The sequence below is a fragment of the Homo sapiens genome, chromosome 8 (genome assembly GCF_000001405.40).
Source record: "Homo sapiens chromosome 8, GRCh38.p14 Primary Assembly".
Classification (NCBI taxonomy): Eukaryota; Metazoa; Chordata; class Mammalia; order Primates; family Hominidae; genus Homo; species Homo sapiens.
Genome location: NC_000008.11, coordinates 101,106,198 through 101,128,300, shown reverse-complemented (window position 1 = coordinate 101,128,300; position 22,103 = coordinate 101,106,198). Strand labels below are relative to the sequence as shown.

The window sequence follows — 22,103 nt, the reverse complement described above, 5'->3', positions numbered from 1 at the left end:
GGAGGCTCACTGTGTGTCACCTGCTGACTTGAGGGCTTTGCAAGATTGCCTTGTTTAGTCCTCACAGCATCCTGTGAGTTACCAGTGATAATAACTCTATTTTACAGATGGAGAAATTGAGGACCGGAGAGCTTAAGTCTCCTTGCCCAAGGCCACGCAACTAGTGAGCAGGAGGGGTGAGACTCAGCCTCAGATGGCTTCCAGGAAATCGGTACAATTAATGCTCTGCTACAACATTTCCGAGGAGGAACTGAGACTCCTCACACACTGTCAGTCCCCTCTCCTACTTCCACCCCTTTTCCTTGTGTCCACTGTGGTCCTGACCAGGTGGCCTCCTACTCTCTGGCCTTCTGTGGCTCTTAGCATCTGCCAGGTCCCCCTGTAACCCTCAGCGTCTGCCCCAGGAGACCTGTTTTCTCCAGGCTTCAGGCCCCCCCAGAATCCCACTAACCTCCTCAGGGACGCTCAGGGCTCTTGGTCCCCCATCCCTCTGCTCCCACACACAGCAATACTGCCCTTCCCTTCCAGCCCCCGGGGAGGCAGTGGAGTGTGATGGTTTTCAGCCTAGTTTTCCTATGAGAGGGGAAAGGAGGGGGCCTGGAAGGTTCCTTCCTCTGCTTCTGTCATTCCCTGGCCAACTCAGCCAAGAGGGCCACTAGAGAGCGAAAGCATCCAATACAGCTGACCTTCACCAAGGACTCAGGGCACCAGGAATCTTCCAGGCAAGATCTCGCCTCCTCCTCACTAGAAACGTGCAGTGAGTGTTGCTCCCCACCCCCACCCCATTTTATACACAAAGAGCTGTGCCCAATTCCGCCTAACTAGCGAGTGGCAGAGGGGGGATTCAAACCCCTGTCCATCTGCTGCAGCGCCCACGCCCTCTCTATTTCCACACAAGAGGAGAGGTAAAGGGCCAGCGGGTGTTGAGTGGCTCCAAATGTCACCTTCAGCCCAGCAGCGGTAGCATCACCGGGGAGCTTGTTAGAAATACGCACTCTCAGGCCCCTCCCTAGACCTACTGAATGGAGGCCTGCATTTTAACAAGATCCCAGGGGATTTCAAACCCATCAGAGTTTGGGAAGCCTAGGTCTGGGTCCGTAGTTCGCCACTCTGGCTGAACAGTGGAGTCACCTGGGGAACTTCACAAAATGCAAGTGGTGCCCGGGCTCCACCCCCGTGGCTCTGAGTTCATTGGTCTGGGCATCAGGAATTTTTACAGCTCCCAATGATTCTAATGGACAGCCACCTCTGAGAAGCGTTAGGCAGCCCGAGAAGGGGAAATCCTGAAGGCAGTGGGGGGAGGTGGCCACCAGCGACTTGCCACCCCCTCCCGAGACAGAGCCAGCGCAGGAGGGTGTGACCAGCATCAGGGAGGCGGGGAGACACAGTGACAGGACGGTGACAGTTTGGGTGTCCTTTCCGCCCGTGCGCGCGACGGGACGGAGGGGCAGGGGTTTCCTCCTTGGGAACGCTGTCTGTCTGGCAGCCAAGGAAGGCCGCGGCCTCTGGGGATCCCCGCCCGTATCGAGCGCCCCTTGCCGAGGGAACCTGGCTCGGCGAGCGGTGCGCGCAGGCTCGGAGGCGTGAGAGCGGGCCGGGCGGCGGCGCGGCCGGGAGCGGGTGACTCACCGGGCGGGGGCGGCTGGGGGCGGCTAGGGGCGGCCGCGGAGCCAACTGCAGCAGCAGCGGGCCCAGCCTGCCCCGCAACAGCCAGCGCGGCTCCTGGAGGGAAACGAGCAAGGCGGCCCCGCAGGTGTGGCGCGGCCCTGGGAGGGCGCGTGCGAGCGCTGCTTTGTTTGGTGCCCGCACAGCCCCGGGCTCCAGGCCTGAGCGCCAACCTTCCCGAGCTGAGTCACGGCTGCAGAGCCCGAGGGCGGCCATACGGCCCCGCCCGGAAGGATGAGGCCCCTTCCTGAAGCTGGCGAGTCCGATGCGGTGGCAGGGACAAAAGCCAGGGGAAGGTGGCTTCTATTCTACAAAGCCCTTTAGGGAAGGGGGGAGTCAGGCCGCCCTCACCCAGTGCAGGTCCGTCACGATGGTCACCCAGAGCACTCACGCAGAAAGCCAGCTTGCAGCCGCCAGCCCTGAGGATGCCGCCCCCAAAGGGCTCATTGCTCTAATCACCCGTCCAGGGGCTTGAGGCAAAGCTCCAAGACAGACCTGTAGCAGCATGGCCCAAAAAGTTCCTCTGCTGCCCCAGTCCCATACCTGCCTGAGGTACGGGGGTTCAGGCTGAGTCGGCTGACCTGGAGTCATCTGGAAGCCTTGTCAGAAATGCAGATTCTGCAGTGCTGTTCCCAGAGGATGAGATTCAGCAGAACTGGGTAAAGCCATGAAACCTACATTTAATAAGTGCCCCTGGGGTTTTTTTCAGCAGGAGGTTGGTACACTTCACTTTGATTTTGTAGAAGATCGCATGAACACAGAAGTGTTAACCACATATGGGTACCACTGAATGACAGTAAGTTGAGGAATTTGCCCAAGAAGACACAGCTAGCAGTTGGCAAAGGTGGGAGTCAACCCAGAGTCACCAGTCCCCCAAGTCTGTGTTTCTAAGCACAGGCCAAACCTCTACAGCAGTCCCCTAGGAGCTTCTAAACTCTTCCTTTGTACTTTTGTGTTATCCAGTACCACCCGAAATAAGCAGCATCAGCTGACACTCTTCTACCTTTTGATTGTATAGGGATGTTGTTATGGTATGTGGATCTGGATACGTTGTAACTTAAGCCTATCAGTCACTAATAGACATGAACACCCAGAAGGGTCTATTACGTCTAGATGGATGCCAACTCGAATGGATTTTTACATAATCTCTAGTTTAAAGGCTGCTAGTCTATCAACAGAGGATAGAGAAAAAAATACACTGAAAATTAGATTTAAGACAGATTTATCCCTTTGCTTGGCAAATGTCATCTTATCCTGTTAACAGCCCACAAGGAAAAAAGTTAACAAAAAATAAATTACATTTTCAACAATGCGCTTGAAGTGCAGGCACAGATGTCTCTGGGGGCAGACTGCCTTAGCTCAAATCTCAGCATTTATACTTCCTGTGCTGTGTGAACTTGGACAAGTTTGTAACCTCTGTGCCTCAGTTCTCCTGTCTGAAAAAATGTAAACGTAAATATTTGTCTTATACTTACTAGGTGTTGGATATTATATGAAGAGATTTGCAAGTGTTATTTTACGTAATTCGCACTTTACAAAGGAGGAAACTGCAGCGCAGGTACCAAGGTTGCCCCATCTCGGTCCAGGCCTGCTCCCGGCGAGCCACTCGCCCTTGACCACGCCTCCTCTCTCCTGATTGGCTGTCAGGCATGAGTCGTGAGTACCCCCATGGACGCTCAGAATGGCTAACATTCTTTTGAGCAATAACTATGTGTGCTATGAGCTAAACACTTTACTTGAATTCGTTCATTTAATTTTTGCTATCACCTCATGAGATGGGAATGATTATTTTCATCTCCAGCTCTCAGGGGAGGAAACGGAAGCATATATATATATATATATATATATATATATATATATATATATATACATTCACACACACACACACATACACACATATATATACACACACACGTGTGTATATATATGTGTGTACATATATGTGTGTATATGTGTGTGTGTATGTGTATATATACGTGGGTATATATATACACATATATGTGTATATATATACGTGGGTATATATATACACATATATGTGTGTATATATATGTGTGTGTGTGTGTGTGTGTGTGTGTGTGTGTGTGTGTGTGTGTGTTTTGTTTGTTTGTTTTCCAAGACGGAGTCTCACTTTTTTGCCCAGGCTGGAGGGCGGTGGCGTGATCTCGGCTCACTGCAACCTCCGCCTCCTGGGTTCAAGTGATTCTCCTGCCTCAGCCTCCCGAGTAGCTGGGATTACAGGTGTGCACCACCACGCCCGGCTAGTTTTTGTATGTTTAATAGAGATGGGGTTTCACTATGTTGGACAGGCTGGTCTTGAATTCCTGACCTCGTGATCTGCCCGCCTCAGCCTCCCAAAGTGCTGGGATTAGAGGCATGAGCCACCATGCCCGGCCAGAGGCATAGAGATATTCAGAAACCCAAGATCACACTGCTAGGAAGGGACAAAGCCACAACCTATGCGGTGGCAGTCTGGCTCCAAGGCCTGGGTACCTAACTGCTACACTGTGCTGCTGATGTTATATAATCACATGTATTAATGTTATATAACAAGTGAGGTGGGCTCCCTACTCTCCTGACCCCTCAGAGCAGTAAGGCTGGGATTTTTCCTTCCTGTTAGCACTCTGCCTTTGGGTGCAAAGGCTTTCTTCTATTTATTAATTTAATGTAATTTTACTTTTTTGAGACAGGGTATCACTCTGTCGCCCATGCTGGAGTGCAGTGGTGTGATCTCGGCGCACTACAACCTCTGCCTCCCAGGCTCAAGCCATCCTCCTACCTCAGCCTCCCAAGTAGCTCAGACTACAGGCATGCACCACCATGCAGCTAATTAAAAAAAAAAATGTAGAGAAGAGGTTTTGCCATGTTGCCCAGACAGGCCTTGAACTCCTGGGCTCAAGCAATCCACTCACCTTGACCTCCCAAAGTACTGGGATTATAGGCATGAACCACTGCCTCCAGCCCTATTTATTTTTGAGGGAGTTTATGGCTTTCCTAGCCCTTGAAAATTAGTGTTTATATGGGACAGTTCAGAGGGGCTTAGGAAAAGCCTTGGGTGCAAGCAAGTATCTGATCCACAGGGTACACGCAGGCAGCCTTGCACAGAGGCACGTTCAGGGCCGGGGAAGTGCCATGAACTAGTGTAAACGCTTTACTTCAATTAATTCAATGTGGCTCCCCAGCCTGGGGCTAAGCAGCGCCCCCTGGAGGCAGGGGAATGGTTTGCAAGCATTGGCTCCTCCGGGAGGACGTGGGTTTAGTCTCCACACTGGCCTGGTATCTGGCTGGGAGCCTGACACTGGCCCACGTGTGTGGCAACTCTTCTCACACAGACTTGTTCCTCCTTGCCCCATCTCTCTCCCCTCTCCTGTCCTCCCCTCCACCTTCTACTCTGGTCTCTTGTCTCTAACCTTCTCCAAACTGTCTCCTCCCCACCCAACCCCACTCCACCCCTCCAGGTAACCCTCCTTGTCTTTGGGGCTGGAATATTTGTGGAGGCAGCAGCAGTAGTGGGGTGGGGAGGTGGGGAGGGCAGTGAAGTTTCGTTCTTGTCTCTTGTCTTTCTAGTCTATTCTAGTCTACTGTTATGATTAAAAAAAAAAAAAAAAAAAAAAACAACTCCATACCATGCATCCCTCAAGCCTTCCCTTTTGATTCTTGCTATGGAGTGAATTGTGGCCCTTACTCCCTCCAAATTCATGTTTGAGTTCTAACCTCGGTGTGATAGTGTTTGGAGATGGGGTCTTTGGGAGGTAGTTAGGAGTAGGTGAGGTCATGAGGGTGGGGCCCTCATGATGGGATTAGTGCCTTTATCAGAATAGATCACAGAGATTGGGCACTCTTTCTCTCTCTCTGTCCCCTCCCCTTCTTTCCCCTCCCCTGCCTTCCCCTCCCCTCCCCTCCTCTCCTCTCCTTTCCTTTTCCTCTCCTGTCTCCTGTCTCTCTTCTTTCTATTCTCTCTCTCAGAGAAGGAAGCCATCTGCAACCCAAGGAGAGAGCTCTTGCCAGACTCTGACCCTGCTGGCATCTTGATCTTGATTTTGGATTTTCTAGCCTCCAGATCCATGAAAAAATAAATTCCTTTCCTGATGTTTATAATATTTTGTTATGGCAGATTAAGCTCACTAAGACAATAATCAAAGACCTATAAAACCGTGAACTTCTTGAGACAATGAGGATGCCTCTAACAGACTTGGGAAGAAATCCTGCACAAAGAGCTGGGGAAAAAAGGGAAGAAAAGCACATAGAATACTCCTTCAAGGCAGGCATTGGCAGACCTTCCACCGTGCACCAGGCTCTGTGCTAAGATTCACCCTGGAGTAACCCTGCCTCTGGGGGTGAAGTTGCTATATCTGGCTGCGTTTTGGCCAGCCGACCCTCTAGGCAGCCCTTAATTCTTGCTTCTCAAACTTACTTCCAAGGACAGAGAAAGATGACCACTGCCCTCACCCCACTAAAGAAGCCCCAGCACTTAGCAAGCACTTATGGCCCAGAGCAGACTGTCTCTACTTCATTTCACTCTCCACACCCAGACTTGGACCACACTTGGAAAAGAACCAGCCAGTCCTGGAGGCTGCATATTGTGGATAGCAGGACTCCACTCACATCTCAAAGCTCCTCCCTGCCCATTCCCATGGTCCCTCCAGCCCTTGGGCAATACTACCAATAAGAAGGAGAAATGAGCTGGATTTCACTTCCTTTGGAGCAGGTGTGAATAAACAGAATTGTCCCAAACTTGGGCAGCAGAAGTGGGGAAAGAAGAAAGGCAACCGGCCAGGCGCGGTGGCTCACGCCTGTAATCCCAGCATTTGGGGAGGCCCAGGCGGATCACCTGAGGTCAGGAGTTTGAGAACAACCTGGCCAACATGGTGAAACCCATCTCTACTAAAAAAATACAAAAATTAGCCAGGCATGATAGCTACTTGGGAGGCTGAGGCAGGAGAATCTCTTGAACCCGAGAGGTGGAGTTTGCAGTGAGCTGAGATCATGCCACTGCACTCCAGCCTTGGTGACAGAGCGAGACTCCATCTCAAAAAAAAAAAAAAAAAAAAAAAACCAGAAGAGAGCAACCAATACTTATGAAGCCTCTGATAGTTACTCAAATGCCACCAGTAAACCCACGAGACGCACAGGCTGGGATTGGTAAGGCAACTTGCCCAAGGTCACCCAGCTAGAAAAGGCTAGAGGCGGGCGAGAGGGGAGCTCCAGAACCACCCCAAACACACTGCCTCCCCCACACCACTGCCTCCCCAACACTGCCTTCAAGAAAGAGAAATCGAAGGACCTGGACAATTTGCAAGCTGACTGCTCAGCTTCTGGACTCATCCACCGCGTTTGTCAGAAGTCCCTGCAGATGCCCGGCCACTATGCCAGTACTCTCGTCTCGGGCTGCACTTGGAACTGGGTGGACAGCTGTAGAAGGACTACTAGTGCCTGGGCCCACCCCTTCTCCCCACCCCCAGTGCCTCACTTAACTGTCTGAGATTCAGCCTAAGCACTGGGCTTTTAAAGTTCCCAGGTGACCGTTGCCCTCCGGGATCCATATTCTCTTCATCTGTAAGATGGGGCTAATGATGTCTCCCAAACAGGGTGGTTGTAAGGATGAAGTGTGAGGGGCCTAGGAAGGGAGGCCTGGAAAGAGGGAAGAGGACTGCTCATCGCTGGGCTGAGGCTGCAGCCACCCTGTGCTAGGTGCTGTGCTACAGCCTGGGTCACTCTGCCAGGACCTATAGGCTCCCTGCTTGGGGCATGGTGCCCTGACCCTCGGCTCACGTCTGCCCAGATCCTTACAGCTGATGGAACCCTTTGCTCCAAGAGACGAGGTTGGCACACCGTGGTCTCAATAAATGTTTGTCGAGTAAACAGATGAAGATGTCCTTCGATCTTCACAACAGTTTTGAGAAGCAAAATGAAAAAGGACTCTCCCTTGACCCAATAGAAAGGGAAGTTTGGACTCACCTCAAGGTGCTGTCACTAGCCATGTGTTCCAGAGCAGCAACATAACTTCTCAAAGCCTCTGTCACTTCATTTGTAAAGCAGGACTTTGTCACTATTGCTAGGTTATAGGACTATCCTGAAGAGCTGCTGAGACAACATACGGGGGAAACATTTCTATAAATTATTTTTTGATGAGGGAATTGAGGTTTATAGGGGTTAAGTGACTTGCCCACAGTCAATCAGTAAATTGTGAAGCCAAAACTTAAACTCGGGACCAGAGAGTTCCTGGGCGTGAGACAAACAAACGAACAAACAACAACAACAACAACAAAACCCCAAAACACTCAAATAATATGTGGTTGCAGAGAAGGGATGCAGATATTTGAAGAACAGACCTGAGGCTGTGTCAGCCCCCAAGGCACATCTGATGGGGAGTGTGTTGAGTTGAACTTTGCAGGAGGGAAGGGCTAGGCCTTTGGTAAAGTTTTTTTTTTTTTTTTTTTTTTTTTGAGACAGGGTCTCCCTCTATCACCCAGGCTGGAGTGCAGTGGCACCATCACAGCTCACTGCAGCCTCGACCTCCTGGGTTCAGCCAATCCTCCCACCTCAGCCTCCTGAGTAACTGGGATCACAGGCGCATGCCACCACATACCTGACTAATTTTTTTTTAATAGAGGTCTCACTGTGTTGCCCAGGCTGGTCTCAAATTCCTGGGCTCAAGCAATCCTCCTGCCTAGGCCTCCCAAACTGCTGGGATTACAAACATGAGCCACTGCGCCTGCCAGTGAAGATGCTTTTTGATAGGAGGACCAGCCTAGGAGAAAATTCAGAGATGAATAAGCAAGGTATTTTGTTTGTCCACAACAGAGAACCTGACAGGGAAGCTAAGAGGGAGGAAGCAGCTGTGGGGGAGGAACATTTGTCATTTCCAGAGGACACTGCTGCCAGGAGAGGGGCTCTCTGTAGCCCAGAGAGCCGTGGAGAGAGGGCTCCCCAACTCACAGCGCAGGAGGAGGGGAGTCAGAGCTGCTCTGCGCACAAGCTGCCCTGGAGGCACACTAGACAGGGAAGGGGCCGTGCATCACTGACCACCTGTCATGTCACCTGTGATCACAGTAGGATCGGGTGAAGGCCTCATACCCCCTGGTGTGATTGTCATTTTCCACCCCATTGTACAGGTGGGGCTCGGAGAGTTAGGTCACTGGCCACTTCCTAGAATCCCTCCACCCCAACACACCCTGGCTGCCCCCCTAGTGCATGCTGGGACCCCTCCAGCCCCAGAATCCACATGTCTGCTCTCCCCAGTGAACTCCAGGGTAGCTCCATGCGGGGAGCCTGGCAGGCAGGCTGGCATTACCTAATTGCTGGCCGGCTTCTTTTATCCCTTCATTTTTTCAAGCTGCCTGGTTCTAAAAGTCTCAGACAGACAAATGAGACTCCAGCCTTGTTCTGTTCGAGCTCCAGCAAAAGGAGGAGATCACAGGCTGTCGCCTCAATGGGGCAACAGCCAGATCTAAAGGCACAAAGCACTGGGGGCAGCGGATGTCTTTAGCGAACGACAAAGCCCAGGCCAATGCCCTACTTACGGCTGAGACTTTTCTTCTTGGGCTGTGTCTTGTGCTGTGAGGTGCCTGGGGTCAGCACTGCTAGTGCCAGGACTTGATCATCAGCCAGCCTCCCTGGGGAGATGAGCCCTTGTTAGGGCCAAACCTCAGCATCCTAAAAGCCTCTCCTACCTCAACCAGGCAGGTGTTTCTGGGTTCAGGGGAGAAAAATCTAGTCAGAGGAATGCATACTGCTGCATGGCCTCAAACAGGCCTTCAGGCTTGGGGACTGGAGCCGACTCCCCAGGGCAGAATAGGTACAGGCTGCCCAGCTGTAAAAGCAGGGCTCTGCCCCTCTGGGCTCCAGCTCCAAGGCTGTGGCACCTACCTGGGAAAGAAAAGTCCCTGGAGAAGCCGAGCAGATCTGGCCTCGTCCTGTCCTTGTCCTGGCTGGTAGGTGGAGTGGATAGAGCGTCCCTGACTCCCTCCTTGAACTGTGAGCATCTCCAGGGCGGGAACTGTCCCCCATAGGACTTGCTATCTCCTGGCACATGTTAGCATTTACTGGGGCCAAGCACTGTTCTGAGTGTTTTAAGTAAACTAATCCACTTAATCCTCACCTCAACCCTAGGAGGTGTTACTCCCATTTTTCAGATAGAGAAACTGACACACAGAAAGATTAGCTTCAAAAAGCTCATAAATGGGGAATTGAATCCAGGCAGCCTGGCTCCAGAACCCAAATTATTAGCCATTATACTGTACTGAATAAGTAAATAATACATGAATATATGAAGAAAGGAATGAACGGCTTGTAGAGAGAATGACATGAAAGTTCTCTGTTCAAAAGTATTTCCTCTATTAACAGTTTCAGGGCCTGTGAATGCACTATTGAAATGCACATTCAGTTTTAACTAATGTGCTATTCTCTTCAAAAATGCTCCTAAGAAATTGGGGTGATAGCAATTATTGGCCATGCTCTGTGGCCCCCGGAATGTCTAGGGGAGGCCCAAGCTCTGGGAAGAACTTAAGCTAATACCCGAGGAGGGAGAAACAAGGAGTTGGGTGTTTCTGCAGAGAACCCTGCTAGTTATATTAATGATGTGGCACAGGGACAGGAACACAGACTGTGAAGCCTCTGAGCTGGGTGTGTCTCTCACTGGCTTTCGGGCCTGGGGTGAGTCATGCGGCCTCCCCGAGCTCCAGTGGCCCCATCTGCCAGGGAAATGCTGGTCCCTACCTGATGGCTTATGGTTAAATAAGCTATTGTAGTTAATGCATCTGGCACAGGATAGATGGTCAATAAATGGTAGCTGCTATTGTTATTAAACAAATTATAGGCAAAAAACTCAAGTCAGTAATGATCACCAGTCTGAGCCCCCTTCTTAAAGTGATGCTTGCACTGGTGACCCTATTTCTGGTCTCCTGGACACTCCAGTCATGATACTCCAAGGGCAATAGCTTCTTCTCCCAGTGTCTTTCCTGGTTGTCTTCATCCCTTCTCTTGCCACTGCCTTGGCCTGGGTTCCCACTGCCTGTCACCGGGACTCAGTCAAGTCTGAGAGATTGAGAGCATCTATGATAAAGCCAGCTGGAAGGAGCCCTGCTAAGCAGCCACCTCTGCTAAGCAGCCACCTCTGCCAAACAGTCACCTCTGCCAGTGTCCTCCTCTTTTTCTGGCTTCAACTCTTGGCACTCTAGCTTCTCTTCACTCCCCACCCCCTTTTCTCACTCTTCTCTCTCTGATCATTCCATGGGTCTCTTTGGCTTTGGTTGAGCTCTAATTAAGTTCCACAGCAGGTGGCAATGAAGACAGCTTCTCTCCTGCAAGTGCTCATCAAAGGGTTGTGCACAAGAAACTTGGACAAGAGGTAAAAAGAAGCCTGGCCCCTGGGGACAAGGATGGGGCAGTCGGAGAACTCCTCGTGCAGCCAGTGCTCCGAAGGTGCAGAGTGAAGATTTGCAGACTTGCTGTGTATCCCGGCATAATGCCGTTTGTCCATCTGCCACACTAGGACAGAAACTCTTCATTCTGAGCATATGGAAGCTGAGAAGGAGGTCGGAGGCAACAGGTGCTTAATGAAAATGATCATGAAGGTCCTGGTCATTCACTCTCCCAAGGACTAATAATAATAACTAGCCTTTAAGGAGGGGGTCATAGTTTACTCCTCTCAAAAACTCTCATTTGAACCTTGTGACCACCCCATTAGGTAGAGAGAGAAATGGTATCATTAAGCCCTTTTCAGATGAGGAAAGTGAAGTCTTGAGAGTTTAAATGACTTACCAAGGGCCCAGGCCACAGGGCTGAGCACCTGAACCATTTTCCCATCACTTCTCTCAGCTCCTTTCCAGGTTGCACACTCAGCCACTGACCTACCCAGCAGTCCCATGATGCACCATCCCCTTACTGGGCCCCGGATGCTGAGCAGTTCTGAGAAAATCATGCGGCCATGAGGACTGTGACCAGCACAGACTCCAGCCTCCAGCCTCAGCCCTCTACTTGCTCCACACCTCTTTCCCATGCATGGCCTGCCCTCTCTTCATTCCCCTTGACACACTTCCCCACTGTTTCCTCCCTCCTTTGCTATCTCCTCTGACACTTGGTGAGTCGGCCTTGCCTCCTCTTCTTCCAGATGATTGAGTTCCCGGAGCACGTTTCAGCCCCACGCATATAAACACTCCCCACTCTTGTCTTCTCTCCTTCCATCCCAGTGCCACAGGAATTCTCTTCCTGTTCAAGGCCTCTCCTCAATGCAGCTGTCAGCTCACCTGCTCCTGGCTGTCCAGGGTCCCATTCACCCATGATCCGCCAGCATCCCTAGCCCCTTCCCGCCCATGAACATGCCCTGTTACCTGTCTGGCCTTCCCTGCCTACTCTGCTTTCCTATTCAGCCTAACCTGTTGAAAGGATAGTCTGCACCAGGGTTTGTCAACCTCAGCACTACTGACACTTTGCACCAGATGATTCTTTGCTGTGGGGGCTGTCCTGGGCACTGTAGGATGTTTAGCAGCATTTCTGGCCTCTACCCAGAGGAGATGCATCCCTTTCCATTTAGAAGAAGACCAAAAGACTCTAGATGCCAGTAGTGACAGTTGTGATCATTCCCCAATGATGACAGATGTTAAGATGTTATAGTCCCCCCGACCCAGTTGCTATAGTTGTTGGCAACTTCCAGTTATGACAACCAACCAAAAATGTCTCCAGATCTTGCCAAATGTCCCCTGTAGGACAAAATCTCCCACCATTGAGAACCATTGGTCTACACTGTCTATTCTACTTCATTATCCCCAGCCATTCATCAATTCACTTGTAATTCAGTTTCCATGTCTTCTCCAATCTCCTGGAACTGCTTTAGCAAACATTCCCTCCACCCCATATTATTAGATCACTTGTGTTCATGTCACTGACCCCTGCTGCCCTAGTGGAGCTGTTTACCACTCCTTCCTTCTGGAGCCTCTCTGCTCTAAGGGCTCTGAATACAGGTCCTGTTAGTTGCCCTCGTAATGCCAGCCTTTTTCCTACCTTCTGTCAGTGGGAGCTCAGTTTCTACTACAGAGGCTGAAATATTATTCACTTTCCCAGCCTCCTTGCAGTAGGACAGGGTAATGAGATATAAGGGAGAGTCTACCTTAGAGAACTTCTGGGAAATATTTTCTTTCCTGATAAAGGGGAAGGAGGGACGCAAGGAGAAAGCCACATTATTGGTCAAAGTGTGCTGTTGGGTGCTGCTGCAGCCATCTTGCAAACACGAGAAAAATCCCAAGTGAAGCCTGGCTTATAAAGAACTGACCCAGCCCTGGAATTGCCTCCTTCTAGATGTCTTACAGAAGAATAGATGTTCCTATTAGATAAACCAATTTTAGTCAGCTATCCCATTATATGCAGTCAAAATATCTTAATGGATCCAGTTTCTGAGACTGTACTCTGTCCTTATCCTCCTCAGACTTCTCTGGCTGATCCTTCACCATCTGTTTCTAGGTCTCTTCTTCCTGCTCTCCTGACACATTGATGTTTCTGGGGTCCACTGTTCTTCTCACTCCCGTCCACTCCCTTCGTTTTCGTCTTATCCTAGATGCTGATGTCCCACAAATCTGAATCTCACCAAGCATTCCTTTTGCCTGGGCTTTAGCCCCTTTGCTCCAGTGGTCTGCTCACACATACTCACTTTGTGGCTTCTTTTGCCAGCCCCCTCCTAATGCTGGGGTTTCTCAGGGCTCATTCCTGGGTGCTTTGCCCTTTTCTAGCTATACTGTCCCTCCCTGGTGACCTCTTCCGTTCATACATGTTTCAGTGCCATTTATATATTGAAAACCCAAATTTATGTCTAGATCCGAGAGTTCTCTGTTGACATCTGGACTTGAAAATGCAGCTGCCAGTTTGCTGTCTTGACTGGGAGTGTCCCACAGAGCCTCATACACACAGGCCCAATCCTCAGCTCACCCCTTTCCCTTAGAAACTGCTCCTGCCTGTGTCCTCCAGCTCAGCGACTCACACCACCGTCCTCCTGACAAGCACCTATGGCTTAGCAGGATGCCTCCTTCTCCTCATCCGGCATGTACCAGGAACTACCAAGTCCCCCAGATTTCACCTACAAAACAACCGTCAACTCTGCCCCTTCTCCTCGCCACTGCCTTAGTTCTGGCTGCTGTGGGTGCTGCAGTCGCCTCCCAGTTGCCCTCACCACCTCCATTCTTGCTTCCCTCCCATCCACTCTCCACCCCACCATGCAGAGGGACATTTCTAAATGCAAACCGTACCATGTTATTTTTCTGCTTAGAATTCCTCAGTAACTCATCATTCCCCTCTACCCGCGATTTTCAGGCGGCTTTTGGCATCAGACCTCCGGTATAAAATAAAATAAAGCAGAATCGTTAACAGTTGAAGTTAGGGAAGGGCGCTGAAGACCCTCCCAGATCCTCAGCCTTCCCCTAGTCCAACACACACATAGGCACACATAGACACACACACATATGCCAGTTCCTATGTTTGTTTTGTGCAGACCATAGATGCTATCTAGTCTGCCCCACCTGAATACACAGGAAGGTCCTCTGTCACGTCCCTGGTAACATCCATCATCTGTTGGATACTTCCAAATGACATGCAGCTCACTACTTTACATGACCCACTTCAGGGTCATACAGGTTGAATATCCCTTATGCAAAATGCTTGCAATCAGACATGTTTCAGATTTCAGATTGGGGAGTATTTGCATTATACTTACTGGTTGAGCAGCCCTAATTGGAAAATCTGAAATTTGAAATGCTCCCATGAGAATTTCCTCTGAGCATCATGTCGGCGCTCAAAAAGTTTTGCATTTTGGATTTTCAATGTTCAGATTAGGAATGCTCAATAATTTTGAAAGTCAAAAAATTATTCAAGCCATTTTTGTGACCACTCGCCATTTAGGGCCCTGCCTGTAAGTTGGTACTGGCAAGCCTTGCCTGTCAGCCTCAGTAGGACTTGGGGGTGGCTAGGACGAATTTGCAGTTGGGTGTGAACAGAACAGAGGATGCTCTGAGCACCCATTACATTACCACGCAGCGCTATCTCAGCAGTCCATTGTTGGCATGTATTTAGCCACTTGGGGCAGGCTGCTAGTCATCTGTGAAACCAGACGACTCTAAATCATAGAAGCAATACTTCTGCTCGAGTTTCTTCTCCCTAGAGAATTCCAGGCCACTCTGCATCTCTGGAAGGGATGATATTGTCACATACAGCAGAGGCTCTGGAACGCAGACGACTCTAGTTTCAAACCCCAGCTCTGCCACTTAAGAGGCATGTGACTGGGACTAGAGGCCCACTCTGAGCCTCAGTGTCCTCATCTGTAGGGTGGATCATCATTAGGATAAGGCCTGTGTCTATCAAGTGCCAAGTGCTGTGTAATTTCTCAATAATTGTTAGTTGTTAGGGGACACCCTTCACCAGCTCTTCCAGCCTTCCCACCTGACTTGGAAGTAGGTGCTTCTACACTCTGTGAAGCAAGGGAGGAGTAGCTCATGACCCTCTCCTCACACCTCACTCACTGCCCCCTGAGTCAGGGGGCAATTTGACTAACTGATGAGTTTGCACATCCTTGGCTGAGTCCCCCCTACCATCTTATTTAGACACCTGCGTCCTTGGGGTCAGCTGTCCAGGCAGCCTCAGTCCCCACGAGGGGAAGAATCCAATCTGCCATTGAGGGCAGGAGGATTAGGGCGTCTCTTGTGGCCACTGCGTCTAAGCACTGAATCCAGGGGGATGCTTTCTATTGGTCTCCAGCCCCCATAGTGGCTTTAGAGAGGTGGGTCCAGGCAGCAGGTGAGAGCTTGTTTAGGGTGAATGTCAGGGGTCCTCTGGGTCTGAAAATCCTGGATTCTAAGTCTGTTAGATGAGAGACCATAAGGGGGTGCGTCTGTCTCACCCACCCTAACATCTGGGGAACTAAAAATCGCCCCTCGCTTCCTTGCACAGGAGCGGGAGGAGACCGGAAAGGACCAGGACAAAATGGGGCCCTGGCACCTTCCTGGACATGCGGCAGAGCCCCGTGGAATCAGGGACTGATGCAAGTGGAGTACTTAGCACACTGCCTGGCACAGATGAGTGCTCAGTGCATGCTGGCCTGTGGTGCTGGGTGTTAAGAGGGGCAGCTTTTATTGGAAAGAATAAAGAATCATAAGCATAAAACATCTGGTCACAGCCTCTCCTGCTGCCAGGGCCCTTGGTGGCTTACCATGGTCTCAGGAGCAAAGGGCCCCCTACCAGAGCTTGAAAACCCACACAGTCACCCCATCGACCTCCTGGCCTCCGCTCCTGCTGCTGCTCACCTGTGCCAGCCAGAAGGAAAGTACTTCCTTCAGTTCTTCAAGGGCCTCTTCTTGTCTCAAGACACTTGCACTCAGGAACTTGCTCTGTTGCACTTCCCTCCACCTAGTCAAGGCCTAAACAGCCTTATTCTGACAGGTCATAGTTCGCTTCCTTAAGAAATGACCTCTGACTGTTCCTGGTTCCCACCCCATCACGTGTGTCCCTTTGTGACCATCTCTCCAGAACCCAGGGAGAGCTGTCCAGTCAGCACCCTGCTGTTAGGATCTGGCTGCTCACCAGGTAGAGACATCCAGGGAAAAGTGGCCCTAGGGAAGAGATGCAGCCTTAGGCAGGGAGTAGCTCTGGGTTTCCCCGGCTGCTGTCATCACCCCTGCATGCCCACACCTGGAGCCTCCATGTGCCCTGTTTCCAGGTATCTCTTGGAACCCAGGCTCCTCAGCCCCATCCCTTCCTTTGCAGGGGCAGGTGTCTGGAAGAGCGCTGGTGAGCACAGGTCCACAGCCACATGACAGTTTCAGCCTCCGGGTTGGGGCAGGAGGCAGGTGGTAGCCAAGGCACTGCATTCTTCTCCGAGAAGAAATGAGAGTTGCTTTTTAAAGCCCAATTACTGCTCAGGTACAAGAGTGATTGTACAGCACATTCACATGTGGCTGAGATTTATATCTCATAAGGCAAGAGCTGGCACCCAACTTGTCTGCCTTTCTGGCTTGTCTAACTTGGTTGTGCCCAGGGACATGGCTCAGTTTGTCACACAGGCTGAGAAGTAGCTGAGGAATGTTTGTGAAGGCAGAGGCCAGTGTTAAATGAGATAAACTCCTAGAACATGCTTTGGAAACAGTATATGATGGGGCAAAATTGCTGTCACCACTTTTGTCCACTGAGGTTTAAAAAGGCCTGCCTGGGAGGACTGAATAAAGGGGAGAGAAAAGAAATATCCAGGGTGGTACTATTTGTATGATAATTTGCAGAATCCATTAGACAAGTGCCTTGAATGATCCTAGGGCTTTCTCCACTTGCAAGATCAGGCAGGAAATTAGAGTGCTGTCTTCAAGTGATAATAATTATTAATAATAGCAATTAACAGTAATTATCTGTCAAGTATTGTGCTAACCACTTCACATGTCTGTGATGGTTAATTTTATGTGTCAACTTCACTGAGCCACAGGATACCCAGATAGTTGACCAAACATTGTTCTGGGTGTGTCTGTGAGGGTGTTTCTGGATGAGATTCACATTTGAATTGGTAGACGGGGCACAGCAAATCGTGTTCACTAATATGGGTGGGCCTCATCCAATCAGGTGAAGGCCTGAATAGAACAAAAGGGTTCACCCTCCCTTGAGTAGGAAGGAACTTTTCCTCCTTTATTGCTTTGAGCTGTGGCATCATCTTTTCTGGCCTTTAGCTGGGAGCTCACACCTTCAAGACCCTCCTGGGTCTTAGGCCTTCATACTGGAGCTGGAATTAAAACATCAGTTTTCCTGGGTCTCCAGCTTGCCAACTCCAGATCTTGGGACTTGTCAGTTTTCATAATAGCATGAACCAATTCCTTATAATACATTTCTCCCCCACCCCTTGTCTATAATATATATACATGCTGTTGGTTCTGTTTCTCTGGAGAACCTTAATACAATGCCTCATCTCATTTAATTCTTTTTTTTTTTCTTTTTTTTTTGAGACACAGTTTCACTCTGTCACCCAGGATGGAGTGCAGTAGCACAATCTCGACTCACTGCAACCTCCACCTCCCAGGTTCAAGCAATTCTCCTGCCTCAGCCTTCCAAGTAGCTGGGATTACAGGCGCCCACCACCATGCCCAGCTAATTTTTGTATTTTTAGTAGAGAAGGGGTTTCACCATGCTGGCCAGGCTGGTGTCAAACTCCTGACCTCAGGTGATCCACCCGCCTCGGCCTCCCAGAGTGCTGGGATTACAGGCGTGAGCCACCGCACCTGGCCTCATTTAGCTCTCATTACAGTGCTGTCAGAGAGGGACTGTTATCTTCTCCATTTCATAGATAAAGAAACTAAGGTTCATACATGCCAGATGACCTGCATGGTCACACACAGCCTGGAGTGGCAAAGCCAGGAGCACACCCGAGCCACCTGACTGAGTGCAGCACCTCCCACGTGCAGAGTGACCTGGCCAAGGAGCACTTTACAAGAAGGGGTTAACTCGACACCCGAGTCCCCTTAGGCCAGAGCACCTCAACCCTGGTGGCACATCACAATCAAAAATACCAATGACTGGGCTGCATCCCAGGCCAAGGGACTCAGAATCCTAGGGGGAGGTGGGTCTGCGAGCCACCCAACTGGACATGTTCTAAAAATGTCTCAGGTGGCTTCAGGACAGCCAGGGGGTGGTCAGGAAGGGCCCCCGAGGCTGCATGGGGGAAAGGGGCTGCCCATGCTGAGCCCCTCCCTCCCTCCACCCTGCCCCCTCAGGACGCTGGCTTGCACCCTGATCTTGGCAGAGCATGGCCTTTCGCAGCTGCCCAGAGGGCCCCCCTGCACACTCTCTGGTTAACACATTCCACCTGCAGCCGGGCAAACTAGCACAGCCTCCAGGCCCAAGAGAAAACAGACTAAAAGTCTCCTTTTTTTTTTTTTTTTAATTGGGTCAAGAGAAAAACAGAATTATAAAAAATGCAAGTCATGGTTAGAACTCCTGTGGTGCTCAGGACGCTGCTCTGCTCTGCGTCCCCTACATGTGAGAGCCAGTAGTACTGTGAGGGGGATGGGACAACAGTGACAGCAGCATCAGCAATGGCCACTTAGCCACCGACAGCGGCATCGCGTGCCAGGCACCGTGTTGGCTGCACTCCTGCATCATCTCAGCCTGGCCTCGTGGACGACCCGTGATTAGCTATTATTAAGGCCCTTTTACAAATGAAGAGGCTGCCATGAAATAACTGGCAGGGCGGACCACTAGGAAGCGAGCCAGCTTTGCCCGGGGCACAGCCGCGCACAGCCTCAGCGGGGGTGTGCTTGGCCATATCTTCTGGGTGGTCTTGTCTCTTCTCACGGGTTGCACTCAGGTGACCCGAGACCCCCAGAACTGGGAGCCAGCCAGTGCTGGCCGCACACAGAGCTCCGCCCGGCTGAAGGTCTCCCTCCGCCCCTAGGCTGCTCTGCGGTTTGGAGCAATCAGGAGAGAACAGTCAACCTGTTGTGCTTTCACGTGGCGGATGTGACAGACCCTCCAGGACCTGGGCGGAGGGGGGGGGGGGGTCTGCGAATACCCTGGGGGTCTCGCATGTACCAGACCCAGCGGGACCTCGGCTTCTCCTCCCGATGACCTTTAGGAAGGACTCCCTGTCCTGTCTGTTTTCTGAGCTGCTCCTCCACAAGCCTTCCCACATCGCTCCCACCTGCAGATGCAAACCCAGCGGGGTGGGAAAGGAAGGCCAGAGCAGGGCAGGAAGGACCCACTTCCGGTGTCACATGCTATGCCGTAGACGTCATCTTCCTCTCTGCATTAAACAATATTCACTCTTTCATTCGGTTTACATTCATGAGCCCTTGGGCTGAGTTGGGGGCTGGGGCTGCCAAAATACACAGCCAGCAAGCTGGTGCATCTTGTGGTTAGTGGAGTAAGTGAACAGTTACAAGTTGTCATGCAATATCAGAAGCATATTCAAACTCCAGCGGTAGCCCAGAAAGGGTGTGGCTAATTTTGCAGTAGTGTGGGGTGCTGAGTCAGGGGACTCCAGAAAGATCATTTTAAATAGGACATGGCCTCTGAGCACACTGGCCAAGCTTAGCCTCCTCCCTGAAGCTTGATCAGGCCATTCCCACCATCCCAGGTCTCCCCTGTTCAGATGCAAACAGCACATCAGCCTCCACGCCACAGCTGCACTCAATTCTGCAGACAGTTCTGTCTTGCTTTGCTCAGCAATGTTTGTTTGGTTGTTGCTATTGTTTTGTTTTGCCCGTGGCCTCCTCTCTTAACTGGATTTTAAGTTCCTTGAAGGCAGGGATTATTTCTGGTATTTTGCTGTCTCTAGGAGCTGAGTCAGTGTTGAGCATCATGGAATGCATAGTAAACACTTCTTGAGTTAGCGGCTGAAAGGTGATTGAAGGGTTGGGACCTCTCAATTTGACAGCTGGTACCAAGCAGGGTGTAGAAACTCAATGAGGACAAAAGTGGAGAGAGGGAACTGTGTTGCTGCAAGAGATGCTTTTTACCTGAGAACGCGTAAAGCAAACATTTAACCTGGAGGAGGCTCAGTGGACAAGGGGGACAGTGTTTCAGTTTGTCACCATCTGGCTTTTCACAATATAATTTAGGACTTACACGTAGTCAAATGTAACTGTAAAATTAATTTCAAAGTCAAATGTCGGGTTGAGGATTATGTGCTATTTGGAGTTATTAAAATTACTGCTCTGTTCTACAGCAAAAGAGGAGAGGAAAGAGTCAGAGAGTCTATTCTGTTCAGAGAGCAACAAGGCTCAAAGAGGTGATATGCTTCCTTTCTAGGTTCTAGTTTTATCAGGGGGGAAAAAAGGCAAGTAAATAAGCTTATATTAAAATTATCTTTTATTATTAATTTTGTTTCCTTTTTCTTTTTTTCTCTTCTTTTCTTTCTTTTTTCTGTTGCCCAGGCTGGAGGGCAGCAACGCAATCTCAGCTCACTGCAGCATCGACCTCCTGGGCTCGAGCAGTCCTCCCGCCTCAGCCTCCCAAGCAGCTGGGACTACAGGTAGGTGACACCATGTCCAGCTAATTTTTTTATTTTTTGTAGAAACAGTGTCTGACTTGGTTGCCTAGGCTGGTCTCAAACTGCTGGGCTCAAGTGATTCTCCCACCTCGGCCTCTTAAAGTGCTGGGATTACAGACATGAGCCATCGCACCTGGCCTAGTATTAATTTTGATCAGGGTACTATGCATATCTTGTTTAAACATCAATAGGTACTACAGGGTTTATCATGAAAAGCAGAGATTCTTTATAAGCACTTTCAACTCTTTTTAGACACTTTTCTGATATTTCCCTCCATAGGGGTGTGTGTGCGTGTGTGTGTGTAAAGATAGTATCTTGCTCTGTCTGATACACAGGCTAGAATGCAATGGCATGATCACAGCTCACTGCAGCCTTGAACTCCTGGGCTCAAATGATCCTCCTGCTTCAGCTGGGACCACAGGTGCATGCCACCACACCTGGCTAATTTTAAAATTTTTTGTAGAGACAGGGTCTCACTATGTTGCCCAGGCTGGTCTGGAACTCCCGGCCTCAAATGATCCTCCTCCATCGGCCTCCCAAAGTGCTGGAATTACAGGCATAAGCCACTGTGCTCAGCCTTTCTCCATAGTTTTAAGTAATATATTTCTTGATTCTTTTCATTTTACACACATAATAACTTCCTCCTATGGAAGAGGAGAGTTTTGCTTTTACATAATATACACACATGCACGTTCACAATCATTCTTCAATATAGTATTTCACCTTTTCTGGATAAATTAAAACTCAGAATTTATGTTGATATGCCTCTGTAAATAGAAGTATTGTTTATAGATAAGCTGCAGAGTTTACTATAGTGGCATTTCCTTTCTGGTACAATGTTTTGTTTCTCCTGGAGTTAATAATCACAGTGTTTATGTTTGCTCAAATTTTTAGGCACCTTTCACGAATTCTTCCAACCTCTTCTAAAAACTCTTCTTAATATAGGCAAAAGCACGAAGTAAGCAATCAGATCTTCTGTCCTTGTTATGTTTGAATCCAGATGTCTAGTGTCCTTCATCCTGCTGCTTCACTCTGAACTGATAGGTGTCTAGGCCAGGGGTCCCCAATCCCCAAGCCATGGACTGGTATTGGTTCATGGCCTGTTAGGAACCAGGCCCACAACAGGAGGTGAGTGGCAGCAATTGAGCATTACTGCCTGAGCTCTGCCTCCTGTCGGATCAGCAGCGGCATTAGATTCTCATGGACCACGAACCCTACTGTGAACTGTGTGTGTAAGGGATCTAGGTTGCACGCTCTTCATGAGAATCTAATGCCTGATGATCTGAAGTAGAACAGTTTCATCCCAAAACCATCCCCCAACCCTGTCCAACCCCATCCTAGCACATGGAAAAATTGCCTTCCGTGAAACTGGTCCCTGGTGCCAAAACAGTTGGGGACTGCTGCTCTAGACCTACTACGCTATGTTGCTCTGAAATTT

General features: G+C 50.1%; 1 long non-coding RNA gene across 1 annotated transcript, besides 6 other annotated features; it reads left to right on the top strand.

The window, feature by feature from the left end:
* Positions 1,010–1,533: an enhancer, noted in NCBI's record as "H3K27ac-H3K4me1 hESC enhancer chr8:102138996-102139519 (GRCh37/hg19 assembly coordinates)". NCBI's record gives its function as "activates a minimal SCP1, AML or CMV promoter by ChIP-STARR-seq in primed H9 embryonic stem cells {active_cell/tissue: H9 hESC(primed)}" and the evidence as "EXISTENCE:reporter gene assay evidence [ECO:0000049][PMID:30033119]".
* Positions 1,285–1,344: an enhancer, noted in NCBI's record as "active region_27726". NCBI's record gives its function as "activates an Ori minimal core promoter by ATAC-STARR-seq in GM12878 lymphoblastoid cells {active_cell/tissue: GM12878}" and the evidence as "EXISTENCE:reporter gene assay evidence [ECO:0000049][PMID:35858748]".
* Positions 1,534–2,056: an enhancer, noted in NCBI's record as "H3K27ac-H3K4me1 hESC enhancer chr8:102138473-102138995 (GRCh37/hg19 assembly coordinates)". NCBI's record gives its function as "activates a minimal SCP1, AML or CMV promoter by ChIP-STARR-seq in primed H9 embryonic stem cells {active_cell/tissue: H9 hESC(primed)}" and the evidence as "EXISTENCE:reporter gene assay evidence [ECO:0000049][PMID:30033119]".
* Positions 1,575–1,784: a silencer, noted in NCBI's record as "silent region_19430". NCBI's record gives its function as "represses an Ori minimal core promoter by ATAC-STARR-seq in GM12878 lymphoblastoid cells {active_cell/tissue: GM12878}" and the evidence as "EXISTENCE:reporter gene assay evidence [ECO:0000049][PMID:35858748]".
* Positions 1,682–7,869, top strand: LINC03044 (long intergenic non-protein coding RNA 3044). The gene is made up of 3 exons (NR_187481.1): positions 1,682–2,324; positions 3,144–3,321; positions 5,780–7,869. It is a non-coding gene; the product is annotated as a long intergenic non-protein coding RNA 3044 (long non-coding RNA).
* Positions 17,760–18,688: an enhancer, noted in NCBI's record as "H3K27ac-H3K4me1 hESC enhancer chr8:102121841-102122769 (GRCh37/hg19 assembly coordinates)". NCBI's record gives its function as "activates a minimal SCP1, AML or CMV promoter by ChIP-STARR-seq in primed H9 embryonic stem cells {active_cell/tissue: H9 hESC(primed)}" and the evidence as "EXISTENCE:reporter gene assay evidence [ECO:0000049][PMID:30033119]".
* Positions 18,689–19,619: an enhancer, noted in NCBI's record as "H3K27ac-H3K4me1 hESC enhancer chr8:102120910-102121840 (GRCh37/hg19 assembly coordinates)". NCBI's record gives its function as "activates a minimal SCP1, AML or CMV promoter by ChIP-STARR-seq in primed H9 embryonic stem cells {active_cell/tissue: H9 hESC(primed)}" and the evidence as "EXISTENCE:reporter gene assay evidence [ECO:0000049][PMID:30033119]".